The sequence below is a fragment of the Homo sapiens genome, chromosome 1 (assembly GCF_000001405.40).
Source record: "Homo sapiens chromosome 1, GRCh38.p14 Primary Assembly".
Lineage (NCBI taxonomy): Eukaryota > Metazoa > Chordata > Mammalia > Primates > Hominidae > Homo > Homo sapiens.
This window is the reverse complement of record NC_000001.11, coordinates 206405119-206428563: the sequence shown is the minus strand read 5'-3', so window position 1 is coordinate 206428563 and position 23445 is coordinate 206405119. Positions and strand designations below refer to the sequence as shown.

Sequence of the window (23445 nt, the reverse complement as noted above, 5' to 3'; positions counted from 1 at the left end):
GGAGACCTAACACTTTGCCACTACCCATACTGCACCCTAGGCATTCAGCAAACATTGCCAGGTGTGCATACCAAGTATTACTCAAAACTAGTAGGGTTTTATTTTATATATACAATTTCTTTTTCTTTTTTTTTTTTTTTTTTGAGACAGAGTCTCAATCAGTCGCCCAGGCCAGACAGAGTGCAGTGGTGCGATCTCAGGTCACTGCAAGCTCTGCCTCCCAGGTTCATGCCTTTCTCCTGCCTCAGCTTCCCGAGTAGCTGGGAATACAGGCACCTGCCACTATGCCCAGCTAATTTTTTTGTATTTTTAGTAGAGACAGGGTTTCATTGTGTTAGCCAGGACGGTCTCGATCTCCTGACCTCGTGATCCGCCTGTCTCGGCCTCCCAAAGTGCTGCGATTACAGGCGTGAGTCACCACGCCCGGCCTATTTTATATTTTAAATTAATTTATTGTTTTTAGAGACAGGGTTTCCCTCTGTAGCCTAGGCTGGAGTGCAGTGGTGCGATCATAGCTCAATGTAACCTTGAGCAAATAGTCTCAAGTGATCCTCCTGCCTCAGCCTCCTGAGTAGCTGGAACTACAGGTACCCAGACCACACCCAGCACGTTTTTATTTTACATAGAGGGTCTTGCTATGTTGCCCAGGCTGGTCTCAAACTCCTAGCCTCAAGTAATCCTCCTGCCTTAGCCTCCCAAAGCACTGGGATTACAGGTATGAACCATCGTGCCTGGCCTAAACCAGTAGGGTTTTATAATGCAGCTGAATGTACAATAATTCAGCTGTGTGGAAGAAAGAGATCAGGGAGAGGGGACCGAACTTAACTAGAAAGGGCTTTAGATGTTCAGGACAGAGACCAGACTGTCAAGTGCGATGGGTCTGTGTAGCTTCTGCCCGTTTGACAGGTCTGCGTGGATCCCCCCCCTGGCTCTGAATTTGCCACTGTAGCCATAGGGTTTGGCCACTATTAGGCAAGCAGCTGGGTCTCACAAAAAAGTCAGGCTGAGAGAAAAGCTGGCTTAGCCTCTACCTCTCAAGCTTTCTGGGAACCAGGGATGATGCCAAAGGGAGTACTGTATGTGCCAAGTTGGAGCTGGTGTCAGGACGGTCGCAGCGACCCAAATGCTCATCTTCATGACCCCCAAACCCATCTGCTTCCTCCAGCTTTCCAGCTACAGCAGCCAGTGTCTGTCCTCTTGTCGGCATCACTGACTGGCTGGTTAGGCTAGGGTGATCTCAGGGGAAGAATCTTTGTCTTCTCTTCCCTATTCTAAGGAAGAAACTGGGTTCCACTATGAAAATGCCAGAAAAGCTCAATCTGGGGGGAGTCTTTTTATGTTTACAGACTTCTGTTATTACATTTCTCATTTACAAATAATAGCAGCAGAAGAATGAAACTAGATCCTATCTCTCACCATATAGAAAAACAAATCAAAATGGATTAAAGACTTCAATGTAAGACCTGAACTATGAAATGACTAAAAAAAAAACCATTGGGGCAATGCTTCAAGGGTACTGGTCTGGGCAAAGATTTTTTGAGTAAGACCTCAAAAGCATAGGCAACAAAAGCAAAAACAGACAAATGGGATTATCTCAAGCTACAAAGCTTTTGCAGAGCAAAGGAAACGATCAACAGAGTGAAGAGACAACCTAAAGAATGGGAGAAGATATCTGCAAACTATCCACCTGATAAGGGATTAATAACTAGAATATATAAGGAACTCAAACAACTCAATAGCAAAAAACCAAACTATCTGATTAAAAAATGGGCAAATGATTTGAATAGGCATTCTCAAAAGAAGACATACAAATGGCCAACAGGTATGTGAAAAAATGCTCAATGTCACTAATCATAAGAAATGCAAATTTTTAAATAATCTCACCACAATTAAAATGGCAATTATCAAAAAGCCAAAAAATAACAAATGCTGGCAAGGATGCAGAGAAAGGGGAATGCTTGTACACTGCTGGCAGGAATATAAATTAGAACAGCTACCGCAAAAAAACAGTATGGAAGCTCCTCAAGAAACTAAAAGTAGATCTACCATATGATCCAGCAGGCCCACTGCTGGCTATAGATCCAAAAGAAAAGAAATCAGTATATTGAAGTATCAGTGTAACTGCACTCTCAGGTTTATTGCTGCATTATTCACAATAGCTGAGATATGGAAGCAACCTAAGTGTCCATCAATAGATGAATGGGTAAAATGTGGTATATATACACAATGAAATATTATTCAGCCATAAAAAAGAATAAAATTCTGTCACTTGCAGCAATATAGATGGAACTGGAGGACACTGTGTTAAGTAAAATTAGCCAGGCACAGAAAGATAAATACTGCATATTCTCACTTGTATCTATAAGCTAAAAAATTTGATTGCATGAAGGCAGAGAGTAGAATGACGGTTTCTGGAGACTGGGAAGGGTAGCGGGGAGTGAGGGGTCAAGAAGTGAGGTTGGGCCAGGTGAGGTGGCTCACCTGAGGTCAGGAGTTCAAGACTAGCCTGGCCAACATGGTAAAACTTTGTCTCTACTAAAAATACAAAAATTAGCTGGGCATGGCAGCAGATGCCTGTAATCCCAGCTACTCGGGAGGCTGAGGCAGGAGAATTGCTTCAATCCAGGAGGTGGAGGTTGCAGTGAGGCAAGATTGCACCATTGCACCCCAGCCTGGGCGACAAGAGTGAAACTCCATCTCAAAAAAAAAAAAAAAAAGAAGTGAGGTTGGGCAGGGTGCAGTGGCTCACGCCTGTAATCCCAGCACTTTGGGAGGCTGAGGCAGGCAGATCACCTGAGGTCAGGAGTTCGAGACCAGCCTGGCCAACATGGCGAAACTCTGTCTCTACTAAAAATACAAAAATAAGCCAGGCGTTGTGGTGCGCGCCTGTAATCCCAGCTACTTGGGAGGTCGAGGCATGAGAACTGCTTGAATTGAGGAGGCAGAGGTTGCAGTGAGCTGAGATCACACCACTGCAGTCCAGCCTGCGCAACAGAACGAGACCCTGTCTCAAAAAACAAAACAAAACAAAACAAAAAAAAAGTGAGGTTAGTTAATGGGTATAAAAATACAGTTAGATAGAAGAAATAAGTTCTAATGTTTGATAGCACAGTAGGATAATAATAGTTAATAATAATTTATTGGATATTTCAAAACAGATAGAAGATTTGGAATGTTCCCAATACATACACACCAAAAAATGATACATATGTGAGATGACAGATACCCTAATTAACCTGATTTGGTTATTACAAATTGTATGCATGTATCAAAATATTACATGTACCCCATAAGTGTGTACAATTATTGTGTATTAATATAAATTATTAAAAAATAGTAGCAGCAGTGATAATGAAGTTAGTGATATGAGCGTTTGCATAGTTTTGTTGGTCCTAGGTTTATATATTATGACCTAGAGAGAGGAAAGCTGGAAAGCTTACAGGCTACTGGCTTCAACAAATTGTGTGAGTACAAAATTTGGCCTGCAGGAAATGGAATATCAGTGGTAGTTAAAGGCAAGTACAAAGGGTTGGCAGGAAACAGGGCAAGAAAAATATTAACCTGCATGTCCGTGGTTACCAGCAGCACTCACATGCAGCCCCCAATGGATAACCTGTGGCAGGTAAGGGTGGGCTAAAGATGACCTGTCCTACTGCACAGGCATTTTTCTAGTCCCCACTGCTCCAGTGGAGTCTAAGAGTCCAGTAGGAGCACAAAATGGACAAAGTCACAAAGGCTTTGAACGCTCCTGCCATCCTCCTCTCTCCTTATAATGTTTCTGAGCAATGAGTAAATTAATTTCCCTGGGATGTGTCTGTGCACTCCTGTGGTGCCACGAAGACCTGCACTTCACCACTGCCCTTGCATAGAGTTAACTGAGTTTATTTTATTTTATCTTAATTTATTTTGGGACAGAGTCTCTCTCTTGTCACCCAGGCTGGAGTACAATGGCATGATCTCGGCTCACTGGAACCTCCGCTTCCCAGGTTCAAGTGATTCTCCTGCCTCAGACTCATGAGTAGCTGGGATTACAGGTGCCCACTACCATGGCTGGCTAATTTTTCTGTTTTTGGTAGAGACGGGGTTTTACCATGTTGGCCAGGCTGGTCTCGAACTCCTGACCTCAGGTGATCCGCCCATCTGGGCCTCCCAAAGTGCTGGGACTAAAGGCGTGAGCACTGACTGAGCAGTGTCTACATTTTTATGTACTATTCGTCTCTTCCTTTCTCTCTGTCTTCTTCCCTCCTCCAATGTTAGAAATCCTTGTCAGCTTAATTCCTTCATACACTTTTTTATTTTTTGGTAATGAAATCTTAGGGTTAGAAGGGGCCTTTAAGGAATCAGGCCAAATTCTCATCCAATCAGATTAAGGGAACTTTAAACCAAAAGTAGAGGGAGAAAGGTAGGGCCTAAGTTGGAAAACATAGTAAAGCAGTGGTCCAGTAATTTGCAGGAGAAAACAATCAGAAAGGGCCGGGCGTGGTGGCTCACGCCTATAATCCCAGCACTTTGGGAGGCCGAGGCAGGTGGATCACTTGAGCTCAGGAATTCGAGACCAGCCTGCGCAACATGGTGAAACTCAGTCTCTATAAAAAAAAAAAAAAAAAAAAAAAATACATAAATTAGCCAGGCGTGGTGGTGTGCACCTGTAGTCCCAGCTACTCAGGAGGCTATGGTGGGTGCACTGCTTGAGCCTAGGAGGTGGAGGTTACAGGGAGCCAAGATTGTGCCACTGCACTCCAGCCTGGCACAGCCAGACCCTGTCTCAAAAAAGAAAAAAAAAAAATCAGAAAGGTGGCCAGAAAATCTGTGAATATGCATTATCTGGCATAATTTCACATGAGTAAGAGGGTTAGAGTTTTTGTTAGGTACTTATTTGTACTACATTTGTTAATTTTCATTTTTACCAAGGGAGAAAATACAAATCTTGACAACAGATTATATGTGAGTAATGATGAAAAAAGCATCAAAGGTAAGATTTGGGGCCTCAGAGACTGTGAAGAATGGAGTCCCCCCGAACACAAACAGAGAAGTGAAGGGAGGGGCTACGCAAATCAAAATGTGATGGGGGACGGTGAGACTGATGCTGAAGGTAGAAGGTGCTATCACAACTTTCAAGTATGAATGTCTAGTCGATCACTGAGGAATTACTCATTGGACTCAAAAGGACAGCATTATAGAACAAAAGAATGCTTAGGGAAGAAGAGAAAGATTCATCTAAGGGAACAAGAGTGACAAAGGAAAGAATATAGAGAGACATCGTGAGAGGACAGAGCCCTGGAGAAATGCTTCAATTTAGAGGAATGGAGAAAGGCCAACAAAGAAGATATGAAGTCATGGCCAGGAGAGAAATAATGCTGAGGTTACAGGGAGCAGGGAAGGTCTGGAAGCAGCAGTGAGACTGTCTCCTTTTTAAAAAAGGTCTGGGATGGTTTAAACCTAGTCTTTGACAGGGTCAAAAATGACCGGAACCCATTAAAGACCCTCAAAAACAAAAACTACTAGCTTCTTCCTCTTGTTTGCCTGATTTGCCATAAACAAACAATTATTTCCTTGTTACTTATATAAGATTACTCACCTTCCAAGTAACTTACTATCTATTTTATCTTCCTGACCATCTTAGGAAAACTTCTTGCTGATCCACTAGTAGATATGAACTGCTAGAGAGAAACTGGGGCAGCAGAATGAAAACAAGGTCTTTATTGGATTGGGGATTTTGGTATATCTTGTAACTCCTACGCAAATCTAGCACCAGGCAAACACACTTTGCCTGCAACTGCTTATGTGCAGCAGGATGCAAACCAGATGGGTGCTGTTCCCCTCCAACAGTGAGCCCAACCAAGGGCACATATCACCTGCCAAACTGATGTCTCTGGCACTCCTGCAGCCACAGTGGAGCTGCAAACCCCTTGCAAACATGCTCCAGCTATAAGCAAGATGCCTGGTTTCAGCCAAGGAACTGAAAAGAACAAACTTCAAGCTCATTTCTTTTCTTAGTGTTAAAGGGAAAATGGCTTGCTCCCTCTGCAAGATATGCACCTATTAATTTTAAATGCACTAAATTATCTCTAGGAGTCACTCCATTCCTCTCTAGTTTTAAATGAAATTATGGAAGAAAGAGGAGGAAGAAAGAAATAGAGGAAAAAGAGGGAGGAGACTTGCAATTAAATTTTTATAATTTAAAAAATGTGTAATTGCATCTGATGGCATACTCATTAAGACGAGATTCAAAGTAGAGAAGGGGAAAATAGTGACAGCAAAGCTGAGACAAGCGAGGCCTGTATCATCCAAGTTCCCCAGCTTAATGGTCCACCCTGTCAGAGCAGTCAGATGAGCTGAAGAAATGCCGGTGCTGCCGACACCATAAAAACCATGCGCCCTCTTTATTCGATTATCTCCCTGTGGCTAGAGCCACTGAGAATTACCCAAAATGATTTTTTAAAGCCTGGATTAGCTTTCCCCTGAGCAGACACAAAGACATTTCTGAGCTCTCTCCACCCGCCCTCCCTGCTGTCTACTGCATAGCTGGTATGAGCTTAGGGGACATAAAATCATTTCAGTATTTGCCATAAAGTATAATTAGGAAGTCAATTTTGCTACTGCAAAAAATACTTCAATTAATTTTTTTTAAACAAGCACAAGTGCTGTTTAGATTATCCATTGATGTGGATTATCCATGCCACTGCTCTCTAAGAGCCCTCCTAATATGGGTAATGAGAGCTGGCTGCCCAGTGGCAGATTTTAACACAACACTGAAGATCATGCACCAAATTGCAGAGTTGAACGGCCCTTGCCTATCGTTCCTAGACCAGACTTAATCTTCTCATTGTTAGCATGTCTTAGGAGTCCATCTAGAATGACTACGCCACCGGAAACAATCAAACAAAATCTGCCAACTTAAAGCGAGATTGTCTGGTCTAGCTAATTAGGTGCTGTGAGTTACTGATATGTTAGCACAAATGTAGGAAGTGTCAAGCCTCTTTTGTGGTCTTGGAAAAGGATGCCATGGGCAGTTCTGGAACAATCTGCACCAATGAAACCAAACCCCTAGTATGCAAGAGGATAAATGACTAGAAAGGAGAGGGACAAGTCAAAAAGACTATGGCCACTCCAACTAGTTAAATCAATGACATTGCCACCATATTAAACATACTATGACTAAATGATACATTCCAAATGCAGGCATGAAGTCAGAGGTGTCTGTCCTGCACACAGTGGCGCTCAATAAATGCCTGTGGGATGGACTATATTTTCAGGCCAGACCAGCCTGGCCCCGCTTGGGCCCTTACCTGTTTCCTCACAGTTGAGCTGCGCCTGTGACCAATCCCGCCGAATCAGATTGGACCAATCCAGCAACAAGGGAGAAAAAGAGAAAATTGGGACGAATGAGATAAACAATCACTCTTAAACCCAGAAGTAAAGTTTTTAATAATTAAAAAAAATCTGTGTGGTAGCCAATGAAACATGTGACATTACTCAGTTCAGTCCCAGAAATGGCTAAGAAACTTGATAAATTACTTCCACAATAAAGCCTACGAAAGCTCTTTTTTTTCACAAAAGCACAGACGTCCCTGCTTTTAATGTCTACCACTACTCAAAATTAGAATAGGAGAGGACTGGTTCAATTTTTAGTAAAATATTTTTGGGCTAGACAATAAGAAGATTTTTTTGCCTGCTAGGAGACACTGGGAAACACCAAAGGATGCTTTTTGTTTTGTTTCTCTAGGAAATCCTTAAAGATCGCTATCTTTACAGGGAACAATTTTTCTGGGTTTAGAGTGTAGAACATCTAGTTTGGAAACAACCTTGAGAATCCTCTAGGTCAATGTTTTCCAATCTGTGTTTAGCCTCAGAAGCCTCTTCTCAAAGGGAATCTGACTCAGAGGCATAACACCCAAACCAAGGAGGCCAGGGCTGTCCTGCTCTGAGTGAAGGATGGGACCAGAGCCTGGTTGCTGGTCATCGCTCTGCCCCTGCCACCAGGCCACTCCTGAGGAACCCCTTTGGAATCCTACGACACCTTGAATCTAGTGGAGTGCTCTGGTCTTCTATAAGAGGAAACCAGAGTTCAGAGAGGGGAAAAGAGCGGCCTAAGGTCTCACAGCAAAATAACTCAGCACCGGGAAATTCAACTCAGCTCTTTTCAGTCCTACAGAGCCTTCCACAGACTCAGGAGCTCAGGTGAACTTACAGTAAGACTCTAACACCAAAAAGATGTGTTCCAGAGAATCCCATTATCCTGGTTCCCTCCAGTCATCAAGACTGGTATATTAATGGGATCTTTATTGTAATTCACAATGACAAAACAATGAAAGCCAAATGAAGCTATCTCTAAATAATGAACCTATAATTGTAAATGGCCTCATAATTATTATGTGTTTTGGCAGATATAAGTGGTTGATATAATGGGCTAACCCAGGGTCTCTAAGGAGTCCAACCCATTAAAGCCCCTTCTCTAGTTAAATCAGCACATTTCTAGGCATCTGAGAACTGCTGGATGAATGAATACCTTGCTCTCCGACAGCTCACAAATTTTCTCATAGCAGCACCATGACTGAGAGGGAAAATATTTGGCTGGGGTGGAGGAGGAAGGGGAAGGTGGGGAAAGATTGGGAGGGGTGCATACTTGTACATCAGGCAAATATTTCTACCAATACTCTTTGGCGAGCCAATGCAATGTAATATTTCATTATCCAGCAACAGTCACTACTAATTAGGGGCTGCCTTCTTTTCTGGGCATTAAAAAAAAAAAAAAATCAAATGCCATCTCCTGATCTTCTTTCTCTGGGTCAGAGACTCCCCAGAGCCCCTATGTTGAAGTCTAGCAGCTAAGGTTAGGTTACCAGAATCCTCTACAGTTGAATGTTTATGTTACTTGCAATTCAGTGGCGTTAGGGGGTCTCTGGGACAATTTCAGCAAATGATAACCCCTTTTACTCAGTTCTGCTTAGCTCCTTCTCAAAGTCCCAGAAAACCCCATTTCTATCTGAGATCAGATGGGGTCAGTAAGGCAAAGGGAAGTAAACAAACCCCGCCCCAGGCCATTGCTTTGTAAAGTCATTCAATGCCTTTACAACTCAACTCCTTGGCTCTCTCCCAGAGTAAGATTGCTCTACCCACCAAGCCTCTATCACTTCCCAGGCCTGTCCCAGGCCACACTCACCTGGCTAGACTGCAATCTGTCCGCTGACCTGTTGGAAACACAAAGGCAAAAAGCATTATGTTAAAGGAGAAGAGGTGAAGGAGGGAGACCCACTCCTAGTAACTACCATGCCTATCTCCCCTAGACAGCCACAGTATAACAGTGTGTGGCAAAAGAGAGGAGAGAGAGAGAGAGACAGAGAGAGACAGAGACAGAGAGAAAGAAAAGAAAGCACCAAGACCCTCTTTCTGGGCAAAAACTGTTTCTGATGCTGATTCCCAGTCCAGGTCAGTCCCCCTAAACCTTAGGGCCAATTCTGCTTCCCAATGGGAACATAGAGATGGAGGTAGTGGAACAATAGCAGCACAGATCATACTTAATAGAATAAATTATTAGAAGCCCTCCCAGAGATGAAATTCAGCTTCTCTTATGTTGGATGTGTGTGTGGTGGGGTGGAAGGCCAAGTTTACTTGCTCCTGAGTATACACACACACACACACACACACACACACACACACACACACACACACACAGAGAGAGTTGGAGGCTGAGAGAACAAGAGGAGTTGTTTGCGGGAGAGAACAGAGAAGATATGGATATTCTAGCTTTAGATTCATAGTAAATTCTCCTGTTAGGTTTGACTGAGGTGGCAAGGGAGATGGGAGATACAATGTTGATACTGCTAGCAAATCATGGTTCTCAATCTAACAGTGGGCCTTAGGAGTTTAATGGGTCATTGCTAGCTTTTAAAAAAATGAAACTGAAAATCTTCAAGTTCATGAGAAGTATTCTCATGTTTTAAAAAAATATATATGCATGTCTACATGGGAAATGATGTAATATATATTGCTTTCTTTAGGACCACAGTTAATGAAGCTCAATCTGTTTTAGATCTGCATTATTTAAACCAGGGGCAAACCCTAGCAGGTGCTGAGCTGGGGGAAGTAAAAATCAGCTCCCACACTCCTCCCTATCCAAGCTCTTGCAAAGGCAACTCCAAGGGCTGGCGGAGGGAGGGCAGGGCATTTTCTTGCCTTTAAAGGTTGGTAATTGTTGCTTACAGTTCAGCTCATCTTGAGCAACGCCATCCCCTACCCCTAACTGTCTCTCGTTACCAAAGGCTCAGCTCTTATGTGCAAAAATATTATTCTGAGCCATTATTTTCTACATCTGTTCCATTTCCATTCTGGAATATTCATACACATCAATTATCCCTCTACGGCAAGAACAAGGGGCTCCTGCATCATGGTGACAAAAACATTCAGAAGGCAGGGACGTGATGACTTGCACACAGAAAGATTTATAGCTTTTTTTTTTCTTTATTGCTAGAACTTGTCATCTTTAGATTAAGACAATTTGCAGCACTAATGATCAGCCTTCATCCCTCCATAGTAGCACATTTGGTGCATAAATGTGTGAGTAAACCCATTCACTCACACACACAAATGTGAGCGCATATGAATGCATTTGTATGGCCCCAAGGCCCTGCTCTCTGTCTTACTTATGGACTATGCTTAGACTGTCTTGATTCTCCATGGAGTGATGTGATAACCCAAGAGTAAAGATTTTCTATAAGCAAAGTTTGGCCCTCAATGCCCAAACTTGTTTAGTCTGAGTCCTTTCGGTGGTGAGGAAGAAGAATAGAAATTATCTAACCAGCTTTCTTCACATAAAAGAAAATGTCTTAAAAGCCATAAGATTGTGCTGGGCCCGGTGGCTCACACCTGTAATCCCAGCACTTTGGGAGGCCGAGGCCGGCAGATCACCTGAGGTCAGGAGTTTGAGACCAGCCTGGCCCAGATGGTGAAACCTCGTCCCTACTAAGAATACAAAAAAATTAGCCAGGCATGGTGGTGGGCACCTGTAATCCCAGCTATTCAGGAGGCTGAGGTGGTAGAATTGCTTTAACCTGGGAGGTGGAGTTTGCAATAAGCCAAGATCACACCACTGCACTCCAGCCTGGGTGACAGAGCAAGACTCCATCTCAAAAAAAAAAAAAAAAAAAAAGTCATAAGATCAGCCAGGCATGGTGGCTCACGCTTGTAATCCCAGCACTTTGGGAAGCTGAGGTGGGTGGATCACCTGAGGTCAGGAGATTGAGACCAGCCTGGCCAACATGGCAAAACCCCATCTCAACTGAAAATACAAAACTTACCCAGGCGTGGTGGCACGTGCCTGTAATCCCAGTTACTGGGGAGGCTGAGGTGGGAGAATCCCTTTAATCTAGGAGGTGGAGTTGGCAGTGAGCCGAGATGGCACCACTCCACTCCAGCCTGGGTGACATAGCAAGACTCCATCTCAAAAAAAAAAAAAAAAAAGAAGTCATTAGATAAAAGATTAGAGAAAAAAATTAATCATCTGGGAAATCATCCAAGGCAGGAAAAGGACAGGGCAAAAAAGGTGGGTAGGAGGTTCTGGTATAATAAGAAGTGAGGCTCCAATTCCTGGGGCCAATGAGCCAAGGAGTATTGCACACTTTCCTAAACTTTGCAGTTTGTCTAAAGAGTGCTCAAGAATTTATTTTAAAATGTCAGATCTCTGTGTAAGTACAGGCTTGCCTGTAACTGATGTTAGCACATATTCCCTGCAGCTTCTCCCTTCCACTCCCTCCTATCTTTAAGTGAGGAGATTAGATTAGTGGGGCAGGGAGGGGGGGGCGGCATTCAGAGGCATCCCCAACCTGGGAATCCCATTAATCATAGGATGCTGAGAGTTGGGCAGGAAATCTGGGCAGGGTGCCAAAAAACCCTGGGGAAGCTTCTCTTTCAACCTCCACCTTCTGTTTGACAGTTGAGGAGAGAAAGTCCAGAGTGCCGGTCCAGTTCTCTGCCTTGCTACTTTCCAGGGTCTGGTTAAAATCATTCTATGAGACAAGACAGTCCATTCAGCACCAAGGCCTCAGCATAGCCACACGAGAGAGGGCTGCCACTTAAACAGCATTAGGAGCTTTCAAAGCAGAAGGAAACTGATGCTCTTTCTGGAAGCTATAGAAAGCAGCAGTCTGTCCATCCCTCCTGCATTTGAGGATTCTCTCCTCTCAGAGCAGCTGCGTATCTCATCTCACAGCTCCCTACCTTCTTGCTCCAGTCTCAGTGCTGCCTCAGAGGAGCTAGGAGTTTTAACAAAGTGTCTGGAGAATAAATAACCCCTCAGCCTCTCTACCCTAGTCGTGGCAGAGGAGGCGAGGGTGGAGGGACTGGGTGGAGAGCAGGCACGCTCCATTTAAACAACTAGATGATACACGTTAGTGCTTCATTAAGCATTGGCCTTTCCCCATTACTCAAGCAGTCATTTGGGGTGTGTGCTTCCACATCCAACAAGCCAAGAAAAGAAAGGCATTCATACAACAAGATCGGGTCCACTTGGCTGAGGATGGAGGCGTGTGCTCAGCAAGAAAGCTCCAGCTGGCCTCACTGTCAAGCCTCTAGCAGAGGGTTCCCACACTCACTTTCTCCCAGGGTTTTCTGCAGAAGGTCATGCTTGGCTTGTAACTTGGTGATGAGGTTCCTGCCCTCCAGGTACTCTTTCATTTTCTGTAAGAGAGGAGGAGGAAAAAGAGCAATCAGACTCCTGAAGAAGAAGAAAAAAATCACAGATGCTCAGCTGGACAATTCCCCTATATAGAGGTCATTTGGTTTCTGACCCAATTTCCACCAGTCAATTTTTTAATTTCTTTAAGGCACTGATCATATGGGCAGCTGTTGATTTTCATGGTGGATTAATATCCTTCTCCAGGTTTTTTCTGGGAGTTCTATGATGGCCAGTATAAAGAAATTGTTTCCTAGAGCCCCTCTCCTGCAGTTTCACTGAGGAAGAGCAGGGAGGGTAGATGAACTTATTGAGCCCTGGTCTTCTTGGTGTGAGGACACACACCTGCTATCTGTCACCTCCACTGACATCCCACCCTGCCCTGGCCCCTCGGTGGGAGGAGGGGGGGACATTCCATCACACCAGGAGCAGTGCCAATGGCAGGCTCAGTCCCTGCCTCAGCTGCAAGCCCAGGATGTGGAGCATCTTTGAGCCATATCCTCAACAGCTTCCTTCTCTATTCTGCATGGAGTCTTTATGGAAAGCTTCGGATTTCTGAGCACTCAGCGGAAGGGGCTGACATCCCCGACTTGCATACACACATCCAGGTCTAAATACAAGATGAAGTTTTGGAAATGTGATCCCACCTGCTCTCACAGTCAAAATATGATTGCTGTGCTGCACTTTCAGATTTGTTCTCTCTCAACCCTCGTCTGCCCAGTGAGAGACCGTATGTCCCCAGACAATTCACTGAATCTTCAAAACAACCCTAGGAACTATCATCATCATCATCATTTCCATTTTACACATGAGAGCACTGAGGTTTCGAGAGTTTAATTAAGTTGCTCAAGGTCAAACAGTTAGTGAGTGGTAAAGTTAGTATCCAAATACAGGCAGTTTGACAATACAGCATGTGCTCTTAACCATTACGACAAAATGCCCCATCCATCATGGTACAGAGCAGGAGAAGGAGAGAAGCAGAACTAAATTTTGTAGTATTAATGCTTTATGCATGCAGCAACATAGCAGGTTTTAGAGCACTTCACCGCATATTCTCTCATTCGACTCTAACAATAAATAACTGTATGGCACATAGGGAAGATATTATTTCCTTATTACAGATAAGATTATCTCAGGGGAGGGGAGGTATCAAATAAATTGCTGATCATTGCAAGCTAGCAAGTGGTAGTGTCAGGCCCAATCTAAGGCCTTTGGACTTTTAACACAGTATCTTTTCCGCTCTCCTCCACAGCCTTTCTTGGGGGTCTTAGTTTGCCTTGATCACCTCCTGCTGCAGTGGTTCATCCTCCAGATCAGGGGCTATCTGCCTAAGTCTGAACTCAGAAGTCAAATGGCCAGGTTTCCCAAAGTGTGATCCGTGAATTACTGGTGATATATGAGATCACTGAGGTAGATAGGTGGATGCACCATTTTAAATGGTAATAGTTCTGTCTGTCTTTTAATGTATATTAAGTAAAACATATAATTATACATCAAACCTTTGATTTCATGGATTGCCACTTAGGATTAAGAGTGATAGAAAGAGAAGGTGAACAGAGCCAGGTGCAGTGGCTCAGGCCTATAATCCCAGCACTTTTGGAGGCTGAGACAGATGGATCACTTGAGGACAGGAGTTTGAGACCAGCCTGGCCAACATGGTGAAACCCCATCTCTAACAAAAAAATACAAAAATTAGCCGGGCATGGTGGTGGTGAGTGCCTGTAATCCCAGCTACTCGAGAGGCTGAGGCGGGAGAATTGCTTGAACCTGGGAGGCGGAGCTTGCAGCGAGCCAAGATTGCACCACTGCACTCCAGCCTGAGCGACAGAGCAAGACTCTGTCTCAAAAAAAAAAAAAAAAGAAAGAAAAAGAAAAGAAAAGTGAACAAATGTGAGTTACTTTTACTCTATACTTTTCTGTACAGTGTGAACTTTTAACTAAGAGCTTGCATCTGATTCTCTCTCTTGTTTAAAAACAAAAGAAAAATCTGCTTTCTCTGGGATGCAGTCCCTAGCCCTCCCATGTTCACCCAGATGGTCCTGTGTGTACCATGCAAATCTCCATGACAGCACTTCTCATACAGCCCTGTCACAGAGGGTTTATTACTCATGTGTCTTTTTCTTCAGACTGCCTCCTCTCTATGGTCAGAGACCATGTCATTCATTATCCTTTGCATCCCTGATACTACCACGCCTAGCAGATAGCAGATACTCAATAAATGCATGATGAATAAATGAATGAGCAGTCTCACTCTCCTCTGGGTAGACCCTTCCTCAGCAGTTACAAACCAAGCCCCTAGTGTGCCCGTACTCTCTAAATTAAAAATAAAACAAGCCAAAACCAAATCTTACACCAAATCATTTCTACTGCCTTATTCATGATCTGTTCCCTCTGTCCTTTTATGCTTTTGCACAAGAACTTCTGCAAGGAAAGAGGCTCTGTTATCACCTTCCCTTTTCCATCTGCTCCAGATGCCAGCTCACCTGCTGTCATTCTTCCCGGGGTAATATCCAAATCCCCAACCAATGCCTAATTGTGGGTTTGGAACAGTACTTTAGGGCCCAGAGGTGGAAAGCCTTCAGGAAATATCCATTGCCAACAATGCAAGCCTCAAAAGCCTCTCTCTTTGGAAGGTTATCCCAGGAGACTCTAAAGGTTTCCTAATGAGGAAAATTCACCAAGAAGCTGTAACCTTCAAAACAAGACCAGACTGCTCAGAAAACAGCCACAGTTCTCAAAGGAGATGGATACAAATTCCTTCCTCTCACTACTTGTGATTCCAGAAATCATTTTTTAAATTCATGTTCACAATTCATTAGTTAACTCTGGCTATCACTTGATGAACCATTAAAATAAATAACAATCTGGTAAAGATGTATGATGGATTACCTCTTCGGGTTTCATTAAATCCTGAAGGATCATAACTGTGTCAAGGTATGAACTGTATCCCTAATACTGGCGTGGAAACCACAGTTGGGAGTTTTCCATCCAGGTAAGCCAGGTATGGAAAGGTAAAGGCATCTCAGAGTCTGCAGGCACGTTATTTTATTTATCACTCCCCTATCCCACCCACAAGTCAGCACTTATCCATATGAGAGACTCGTTGGGGATAAGTGACCTTGTCTTTAATTGGTGGAAGTGAGTTAGAAGGTTTCTGTTGCTGTTGGACAGACAACACAGAGAAAGGAGCTGAGACCGCTGAAGAATGCAAGGGAAGAATAGGTGGCTTTTAATGACTTCTGGAGATCACGGGGGCCAGGAAAAGGGCTGCTTATAATCTCCAATCTCAAAATCCCTTCCTTGGGCAATGAGGATCACTCTCCTTACTTAGGGCATGTTCCAATATTAGGTAGTTCTTTTTCCTTCCTTCACCAAACACCCAAAATCAAAGTGGCTACCTGGGGTTTTCCTCAATGAAGGAGCAAAAGAACAGGTAATATTTTATTCTAGGTATTCACCAAAATAAAATCAAGTTCCTAAAACACAGTCTGACCAGTGCCCACCCCCAACAACTTTCACACTTAAAATAATCAAAACTGAGAATTTCTTCAAAAAGTAGGAAGGGAGGCAAAGAGTCTATTGGGCATTTTGTTTAGTGCCATTGTGAAACTTCAATTCAGTTTTTATGATCTCATTAATTGATTTCCTAATAATTCCTAATTGGATATTAACTGTCAGCAGTGAGTTTTGTTTATTGAAAAGTATTAACATAATAACTTTTCTTTCTGCACATTCCCTCCTTGATAGACGTTTTAGTTGCATTAAAATGAAAAAGCATGAGTTGGAATATTCTAGTCCTACCACTTACTAACTCTCCTAACCTTGGGCAAATCATTTAACCCCCTGAGTCTTAGTTTTTCCATCCGAAAAATGAGAATACTATTTTTTTCACAAAGTTGGTGAGAATGAAATTGGATAATAAGCATTACTGTTAATAGCACAGGGCCTGGCATAGAGCAGGCACTCAGAAAGGTGTTCCTTTATACCTGAATCACCTCCTCAGTGAACCTAAAAGCATCCCTTCCCTAAGCATCTTTGCTTTGTGCTAAAATAAAAGCAGAATGAAAGCAGAAGGTTTTGGGCCTTAAAAAAGTAGTAAGAGGCACTAGAATGCTTTTCAAATTTCATTTTTAAAAACCTCTTCCCTTTAAATACACTCTTACCATGGGGGTATAAAACTCACTGGATGTTGCTTATGCCTTGGATTTAATCTGCGTGAACCCAAGACCCTAAGTATCCACTGCAGCAAGGCAGGAGGAGTGAGTACACCTACCCAGCCCATGCTCAGAGATACACAGATGTCACTATAGTGGCTGTTTCCCCACCATGCAGGCATGCTGACATTTCCCCTCCTCCCCGTCAATTTTTAAAATAGGAAACAGCTGTCAGATAGAATACATAATAGAGTAAACTTTAAATGGAGCATGTCTCCCCAGTTTAATTGACAGCACAGGGGCATTCACTCATTTGTACTCACTAGCACACGTTTACCAAGGGCCTGCAAGAGAATACCAAGATAAAAAGATCTCAGACCACAAGTTCCAAGTCTAGTGTCACTCAGTGCCCCAGTGGCCAAGGCATTGCCTCCTCTCCTATTACCTTCCCCAAACCTGTCCCTAAGAATTCAGACTGTTTAGCTTTGTTACTTTATCGGCCATGATCCTTAACCCCTTCACTGTTCTATCCCCCATAAAAGAACCTAATTCTCCAACTCCCTATAAAAGGAAATACTTAGGCTGGGCATGGTGGCTCACGCCTGTAATCCCAGCACTTTGGGAGGCCAAGGTGGGCGGATCACGAGGTCAGGAGTTTGAGACCAGCCTGGCCAACATAGTGAAACCCCGTCTCTACTAAAAATACAAAAAATTAGCCAGGCGTGGTGGCGTGTGCCTGCAATCCCAGCTACTTGGGAGGCTGAGGCAGGAGAACTGCTTGAACCTGAGAGGTGGAGGTTGCAGTGAGCCCAGATTGCACCATTGCACTCCAGCCTGGGCAACAAGAGCCGAGGCTTGGTTTCCAAAAAACAAAGGAAATACTTAGGAAAATGCCAGCCTTATAAAGCTTTGGTAAACCTTGGCTAAACAGCGAGCATCACTGCCTATGAGGAGGGAATTTGTTAAACAAATGATGGCACATTCATACAGTGGAATTCTATCCAGCCATTTAAAAAGGACGCAGATCTTTTGGGACTAACATAAAAATAAGATCCAAGATAAAGAACGTTAAAAAAGTGAAGAACTGTATAAGTGGAATACTTCTATATCTACTTCCATTTTCTTTCATTACATTTCTAATGTAATTTATCATATTAAAGGGTATTTACAGATACGTCAGTTGTTGTCCATGCATAGAGTATCTCTGGAAGGACACAGAAGAAACTGGTTTCAATCACCAGCAGAGGGGAGGGGAAATAGGAGTCAGGAATGAAAAGAAACTTTATAGTACGTTTTCCTGTATACCCTTTTCAAATCTTTGCATCTTTTAAAAGTATTGATTTTTAACAATCACAATAAAAAAGGCAACGGGTAAAAAGTAGACATTGATGAACTATGTGTTATAAAAGATAAGCGATAAACACAAAGCCAAGAAGATCAGGAAACATGTCACCACTGAGGGCAAATAAGAGGCAAAAATTGCTGAGCTGTTCCTGAGCCCTTCCCTTCACCTCTGCTTCTTCCACAGGGTGTAGAGAAGCAGCCTGTGGCCAGAGACCCTGTAACCAGAGTGGTGGGTCCAGCTTTTGTGAGCTACCCATCCTCTCTGGATTTACTGATTGATTGATTGATCGATTGAGATGGAGTTTCACTCTTGTTGCCCCAGGCTGGAGTGCAATGGCACGATCTCGGCTCACTGCAACCTCCGCTTCCCGGGTTCAAGTGATTCTCCTGCCTCAGCCTCCTGAGTAGCTGGGATTACAGGCATGCGCCACCACGCCCAGCTAATTTTTTTGTGTTTTTAGTAGAGACGAGGTTTCTCCATGTTGATCAGGCTGGTCTCAAACTCCCGACCTCAGGTGATCCGCCTGCCTCGGCCTCCCAAAGTGCTGGGATTACAGGCGTGAGCCACCACGCCCAGCAGATTTATTTATTTTTTAATCTTTCTTTTTTTTTTTTAGGCAGAGTCTTACTCTGTCACCCAGGCTGGAGTGCAGTGACACGATCTTGGCTCACTACAACCTATGCCTCCCCGGTTCAAGTAATCCTCCCACCTTAGCCTCCTGAGTAGCTGGGATTACAGGCGCCTGCCACCACACCCAGCTAATTTTTGTGTTTTTAGTAGAGACAGGGTTTCACCATGTTGTCCAGGCTGGTCTTGAACTCCTGGCCTCAAGAGACCCACCCGCTTCAGGCTCCCACAGCGCTGGGATTACAGGCATGAGCCGCCATATCTGGCCTATTTATTTTTTAATTTTTCAAATGAGAAGGTTGGGTTAGGTAATTTTTAAAAATCGCTTCAAGTTTCTTAACTCCACAATTATTTTCCTGAGACTCTTGCAAGCAACTGATCTTTATAGGTCATGCCTCAAATTCCCAATTGATGTCATCTGGGCAAATCAGTCCAATGACAGCCACAAGTGGTCAGAAAGCTTTCTTAGCAGCCCTCTTGGTCACTAGGCACACTACCTAGGAGTCAAGCTGTGACAAGAGGCTGCTTCTTAAACTTACAAAAGATAGGATCTTCCAGGATGTGCTGCTCTGATGTTTTTGAAGGGCATAGAGAAACACACGGGCAATGTTTGCAGAGGCAACAGACTAAAGAAAGCACATCTATAGTTGTATTGGCTTTGTGTGGGTTGTATGGTAAACAGGTAGTCACCCTGCTTAATGTGGGTATCCCATTTTCCATAAATGTCTATTTCACCACCCCAAAAAGCCCTCTTATCATGAAATTAATCATCTGATGCACTTCAAGTACCAGTCACAAAAATGATGAACTCAGGCAGAATTCCACTGCTAGACAAGCCCAGACAAAAACTGTTACTGTTAGCCAAGGAAATTTGCACACAATTTTGATAAGTGGCACTAGAGCCACATAAGACAGGAAATGGGTTAGAGGACATCAATGTATTGAGACAGAAAGTGAAAGGGTGGGCAGGATTTGCGAGGTTACCAGTTTGAATATGGCCATTCCTGCTTTTACTAAAGGTCAATTTAGAAAACAAATGTTACAGAATTCATTTAGAGCCAAAAAGTAATTCTGACAAAGACTGTCTTAAAATGCAAGATTTTTAGGTCCAAAATTTCTTACGTAACCTAAAAAATGGAAATCTTCACAATGTAATGAGATTGGGTCATTTAAATAGTGTTATATCTAAGCAGTCCAGACAGACCAGCTAAACAATCCTATTATTAAAAGCCTCTAGAGAGTGTTCAACAAACTCCTTAGATAATGAAGCTTGGGGCAGCAACACATCCCTCATTATAGTCAGAAAGTTCTCTTAACATGTGAGCCAGGTTATTGCGTGCATTTATGTTTTCCCACATGCTGCTCTTTCCTCAAGGAATGCGATTCTCCTCCCCGACTCCCTGCCTGGTTCGCTCATTCTTCAAGATCAAACACAAAAGTCACTGTGTGTGTGATGCTTCTCCAATTCCACTCATCCTGGCTGCCATTCATGCACTAGTGCATGTATGCATTTTTACATTTTTTAAATTACAAAAATCAACCTATTATAACTGCTTAGATATATATGAAGTAAAAATGAAAGTTCTCCCTTTACATGACCCATCCCCCATCATTTCCCTCTTTATCTTATACTGTCAGCATTCCCAGCTTGTAGCACAGTGTCTGGCAATAGTAAATCCTCAAAAAATGATCAATGAATAATTTAATAATGATTAATAAATAAATTAATGATGATGGTGAAGATAAATTTTTAGCATTTATTGAACGCTAACTACAAACCAGGGAGTGTGTTAAATATTTTACAAAAATCAATGAATGAGCTAAAATGCCATTCTATTATTTTTTTGTATAGGTTTTAATATTTTACTCATAAATATGCTTAAAGAATATTATAATTATATGACTTAGATTGTAAAACAATATGTACAGCAGTATCCTATTTTTTAGAATAAAATTATAAATATGTGCTCACATATGTGTTTGTGCATGCATAGAAAACAGATTAGAAAGGAATATATTCTAACACCATTATCTCTAGCTGGTAGAATTATGGAAAATTTTTATTTCCTTCTTTTTCCTTCTAAATTTTATATAATGAGCATATTTGGCTTTGTATAATCATTTTTAAAAAGTTGTTTTAGAAGAATAGTACTGATATATCATTCCCTTTTAGCAGTTTTCTCTAGGATAAAAAATAAGAGGAAGTCTGAGCTTAACTAATTAAAAAAACAGATTTCTTTAAAAAATATTAGCAAATCATTAGTGTTCTTACTGGAGAAAGGGCAGTGTTCAAAGAAGAATTAAACAAATCATTCCAGTTGCAGGAAAAATTCAATTTACTGCATGCAGACTGTTTCTTGACTGAAAAGTTAATTCCTTTCATTCAGAATCAGTATGCATATTCACTGGCTATATTTCATCTCACATCTGCAAACTTAATTTTTCCTTTCTTGGTCATCAGAAGATTAGGAAATAAATTTTAGTCCAGGCAATAGATCCTACTTGGCAAGCTCAAAATAACTCAATTATTAAAAAGCAGCACACAAAGACCAGTAGTGACTTCCAAAGGATTGTTAACAATACTTAAAAAAAAAAAAAAAAAGAAAAAGAAAAAAGGGTCCAACTGTCTAAAAGAAGACTAGAGATACATGAATAAGAAAATACGATGTTTTGGAATTATGTGCAAAATAGTAATGCTGCATATTACCCATCCTTTAAGTTTTAGCAATAATTAGAAAAAATAGTTTCCCAACAATAAAAGTTATAAAATAATGTCATCATATCACCTAGAAGAGATTATAGATTTTTATAAACAAAATATGTGTTATTATGAATATTTGTATGTACTCTCCAAGAACTAAAAGATGAAGTTCCCCTTTCAGGATCCCCTGTGCCTGAGAAGGAAACTTTCCAGTGAAAGCCTACTAGCTAGTTAAAAATTTCTTAAAAAAGAAAATCTTCTTAGTTGTATACTTGGGAGCATCCTTTCTCTTGGGCGGATCCCTGTTAGACATATACAACTTTTAATGTTTGCACCTTTAAGTGTAGGGATGGTCTCTGAGTATGCCCACATTCGTATCTAAGATATTCAACGCCTGTCCTTCAGACACTTAACAAGGACTCTGAGTTCCAAATCTCCCTTGAGTGCTGCAGTGCATGCTGACGCTCTTTAAAAGCCATAGCACTCCCTTACTGTGAAATAAAACTGCTCTGTCTCTTGCTGGTTGGCTCTCCTCTTAGCAATGCTGGGCTTGCTCATGAAGGTTTCAGAGACCGTGGACTTGACGGACTCCATGGAGTTGCTGTACTGGAAGCAGTCAGACACATCAAAGTCCTCGACAGTCACAATGTCCTGGATGGTTTGCAGGGTGGCCTCCATTGTCTTCTTTACCTGCCACGACAAGGGCCAACAGGATGCATGAAGGGTGGGTTGTTAAACAGCAGGTGATGGAGAAGCTTGAAGAGAGTGGGCTGGGGAAGGCCACAGGATGCCATCAGAGTGTGCAGCTCTGCTTCCCACTGGACAGTGCTAAGTGGGAGGTAAACATCACATGGACTCTGCTACAGCATGCTACTCTCTACAGTGAAAACCTAAAAGCCACTACAACCCTTCATGCTATGTACTTGACCCAGATCTTTTAATGTTTACTTTTAAAATTTAATATTAGCATTATTATAATATTATATAACAACATTATAATAGAAGTTTTAAGGGAAAGAGAATAAAATAAATCTAAACCAACCCCCTCATACAAACAGCTAATTAAAATGTGTGATGGGCCTAGTACTGCAAAGCCCCAGGTTCTGTTTCATGACCTTCAACAAACTGATGAACTTGTTTGCTCATTTGCAAACTAAGTGACCTATCCCTACTTCTTCCTGATCTTCCTGCAGAAAGTAAGACTTACTGAGACACAAGGTAAGAAGCCATCTGAGCTCAACAGAAAGCTGGATCACCCGCCCTTTTGAACCGCTTTTTGAAAGCAAATACACTGAGCCCAGAAGAAACTCACCCTTTCCTAAGAGGATGGAGATGTTTGAAGTGTCAAAGTCAAAGGCCTCTGTTTGTTTGAACATGCTGGAAAAAGCTAGGCATGAGGAGGTGGTTTCAGAGACACAATATTGTTCACACAGCTGCCAAGTGCCATTTTGATTAAATGTGTAGAGGGGAAAAAAAGCATTTCGCAAAAGCTCAAAATAGAGCACAACCTTTGGCAATGCAAGAGCAACTTCCTGGAGTTCAAGGGCAGGATGTAGCAGAGGGGGAAAGTCCAAGCCTACATTTGGCTAGGAAATGTTTGCGGCCGCCCGGACATTCTCTGCATGCTCCTTCCACCTGCTCCCAGACGGGCAGCAGCAAAAGTTTCAACAGGGAAACTAAGAGTGTGGCTTTGAGCCTCCTAAGGAAGAAACTCACCTCTTCGTTTTCAATCTTTAGAGTGGATAAGCGAGACTGCAGTTGTTGGCATCTCTGTACCAGCTCACTCTGGACAGGCTGCTGGGCACAGAGCTGGGAAGCCTAACAAAAGAAAGCAACACCAGGTCAGAAAGAGGATACAGTCCCTTTGGCAGTTCCAGAGTTCCCATTACTGGCAATGAAACTACCCATATTCAAGGTATAAGGCTCGTGGTTTCTATGTTGAAGCAAA

The 23445-nt window shown here is 42.6% G+C and overlaps 1 protein-coding gene across 18 annotated transcripts in view; it reads right to left on the bottom strand.

Moving 5' to 3' along the window:
• The window catches only part of SRGAP2 (SLIT-ROBO Rho GTPase activating protein 2), a 260896-nt gene that overhangs the window by 35873 nt on the left and 201578 nt on the right, over positions 1–23445 (bottom strand). For 17 of the 18 annotated variants that reach the window (XM_011509354.3, NM_001377444.1, NM_015326.5 and 14 more), the window contains 5 exons: positions 23214–23315; positions 21990–22187; positions 12591–12675; positions 9164–9191; positions 7290–7314 (listed from right to left, as the gene is read on the bottom strand). In XM_011509354.3, the coding sequence (XP_011507656.1) occupies positions 7290–7314; positions 9164–9191; positions 12591–12675; positions 21990–22187; positions 23214–23315 (438 nt within the window). Of the gene's footprint in view, positions 1–7289; positions 7315–9163; positions 9192–12590; positions 12676–20539; positions 22188–23213; positions 23316–23445 lie in introns of those variants that run through there. The other variant, XM_047416536.1, reaches the window with a different exon arrangement.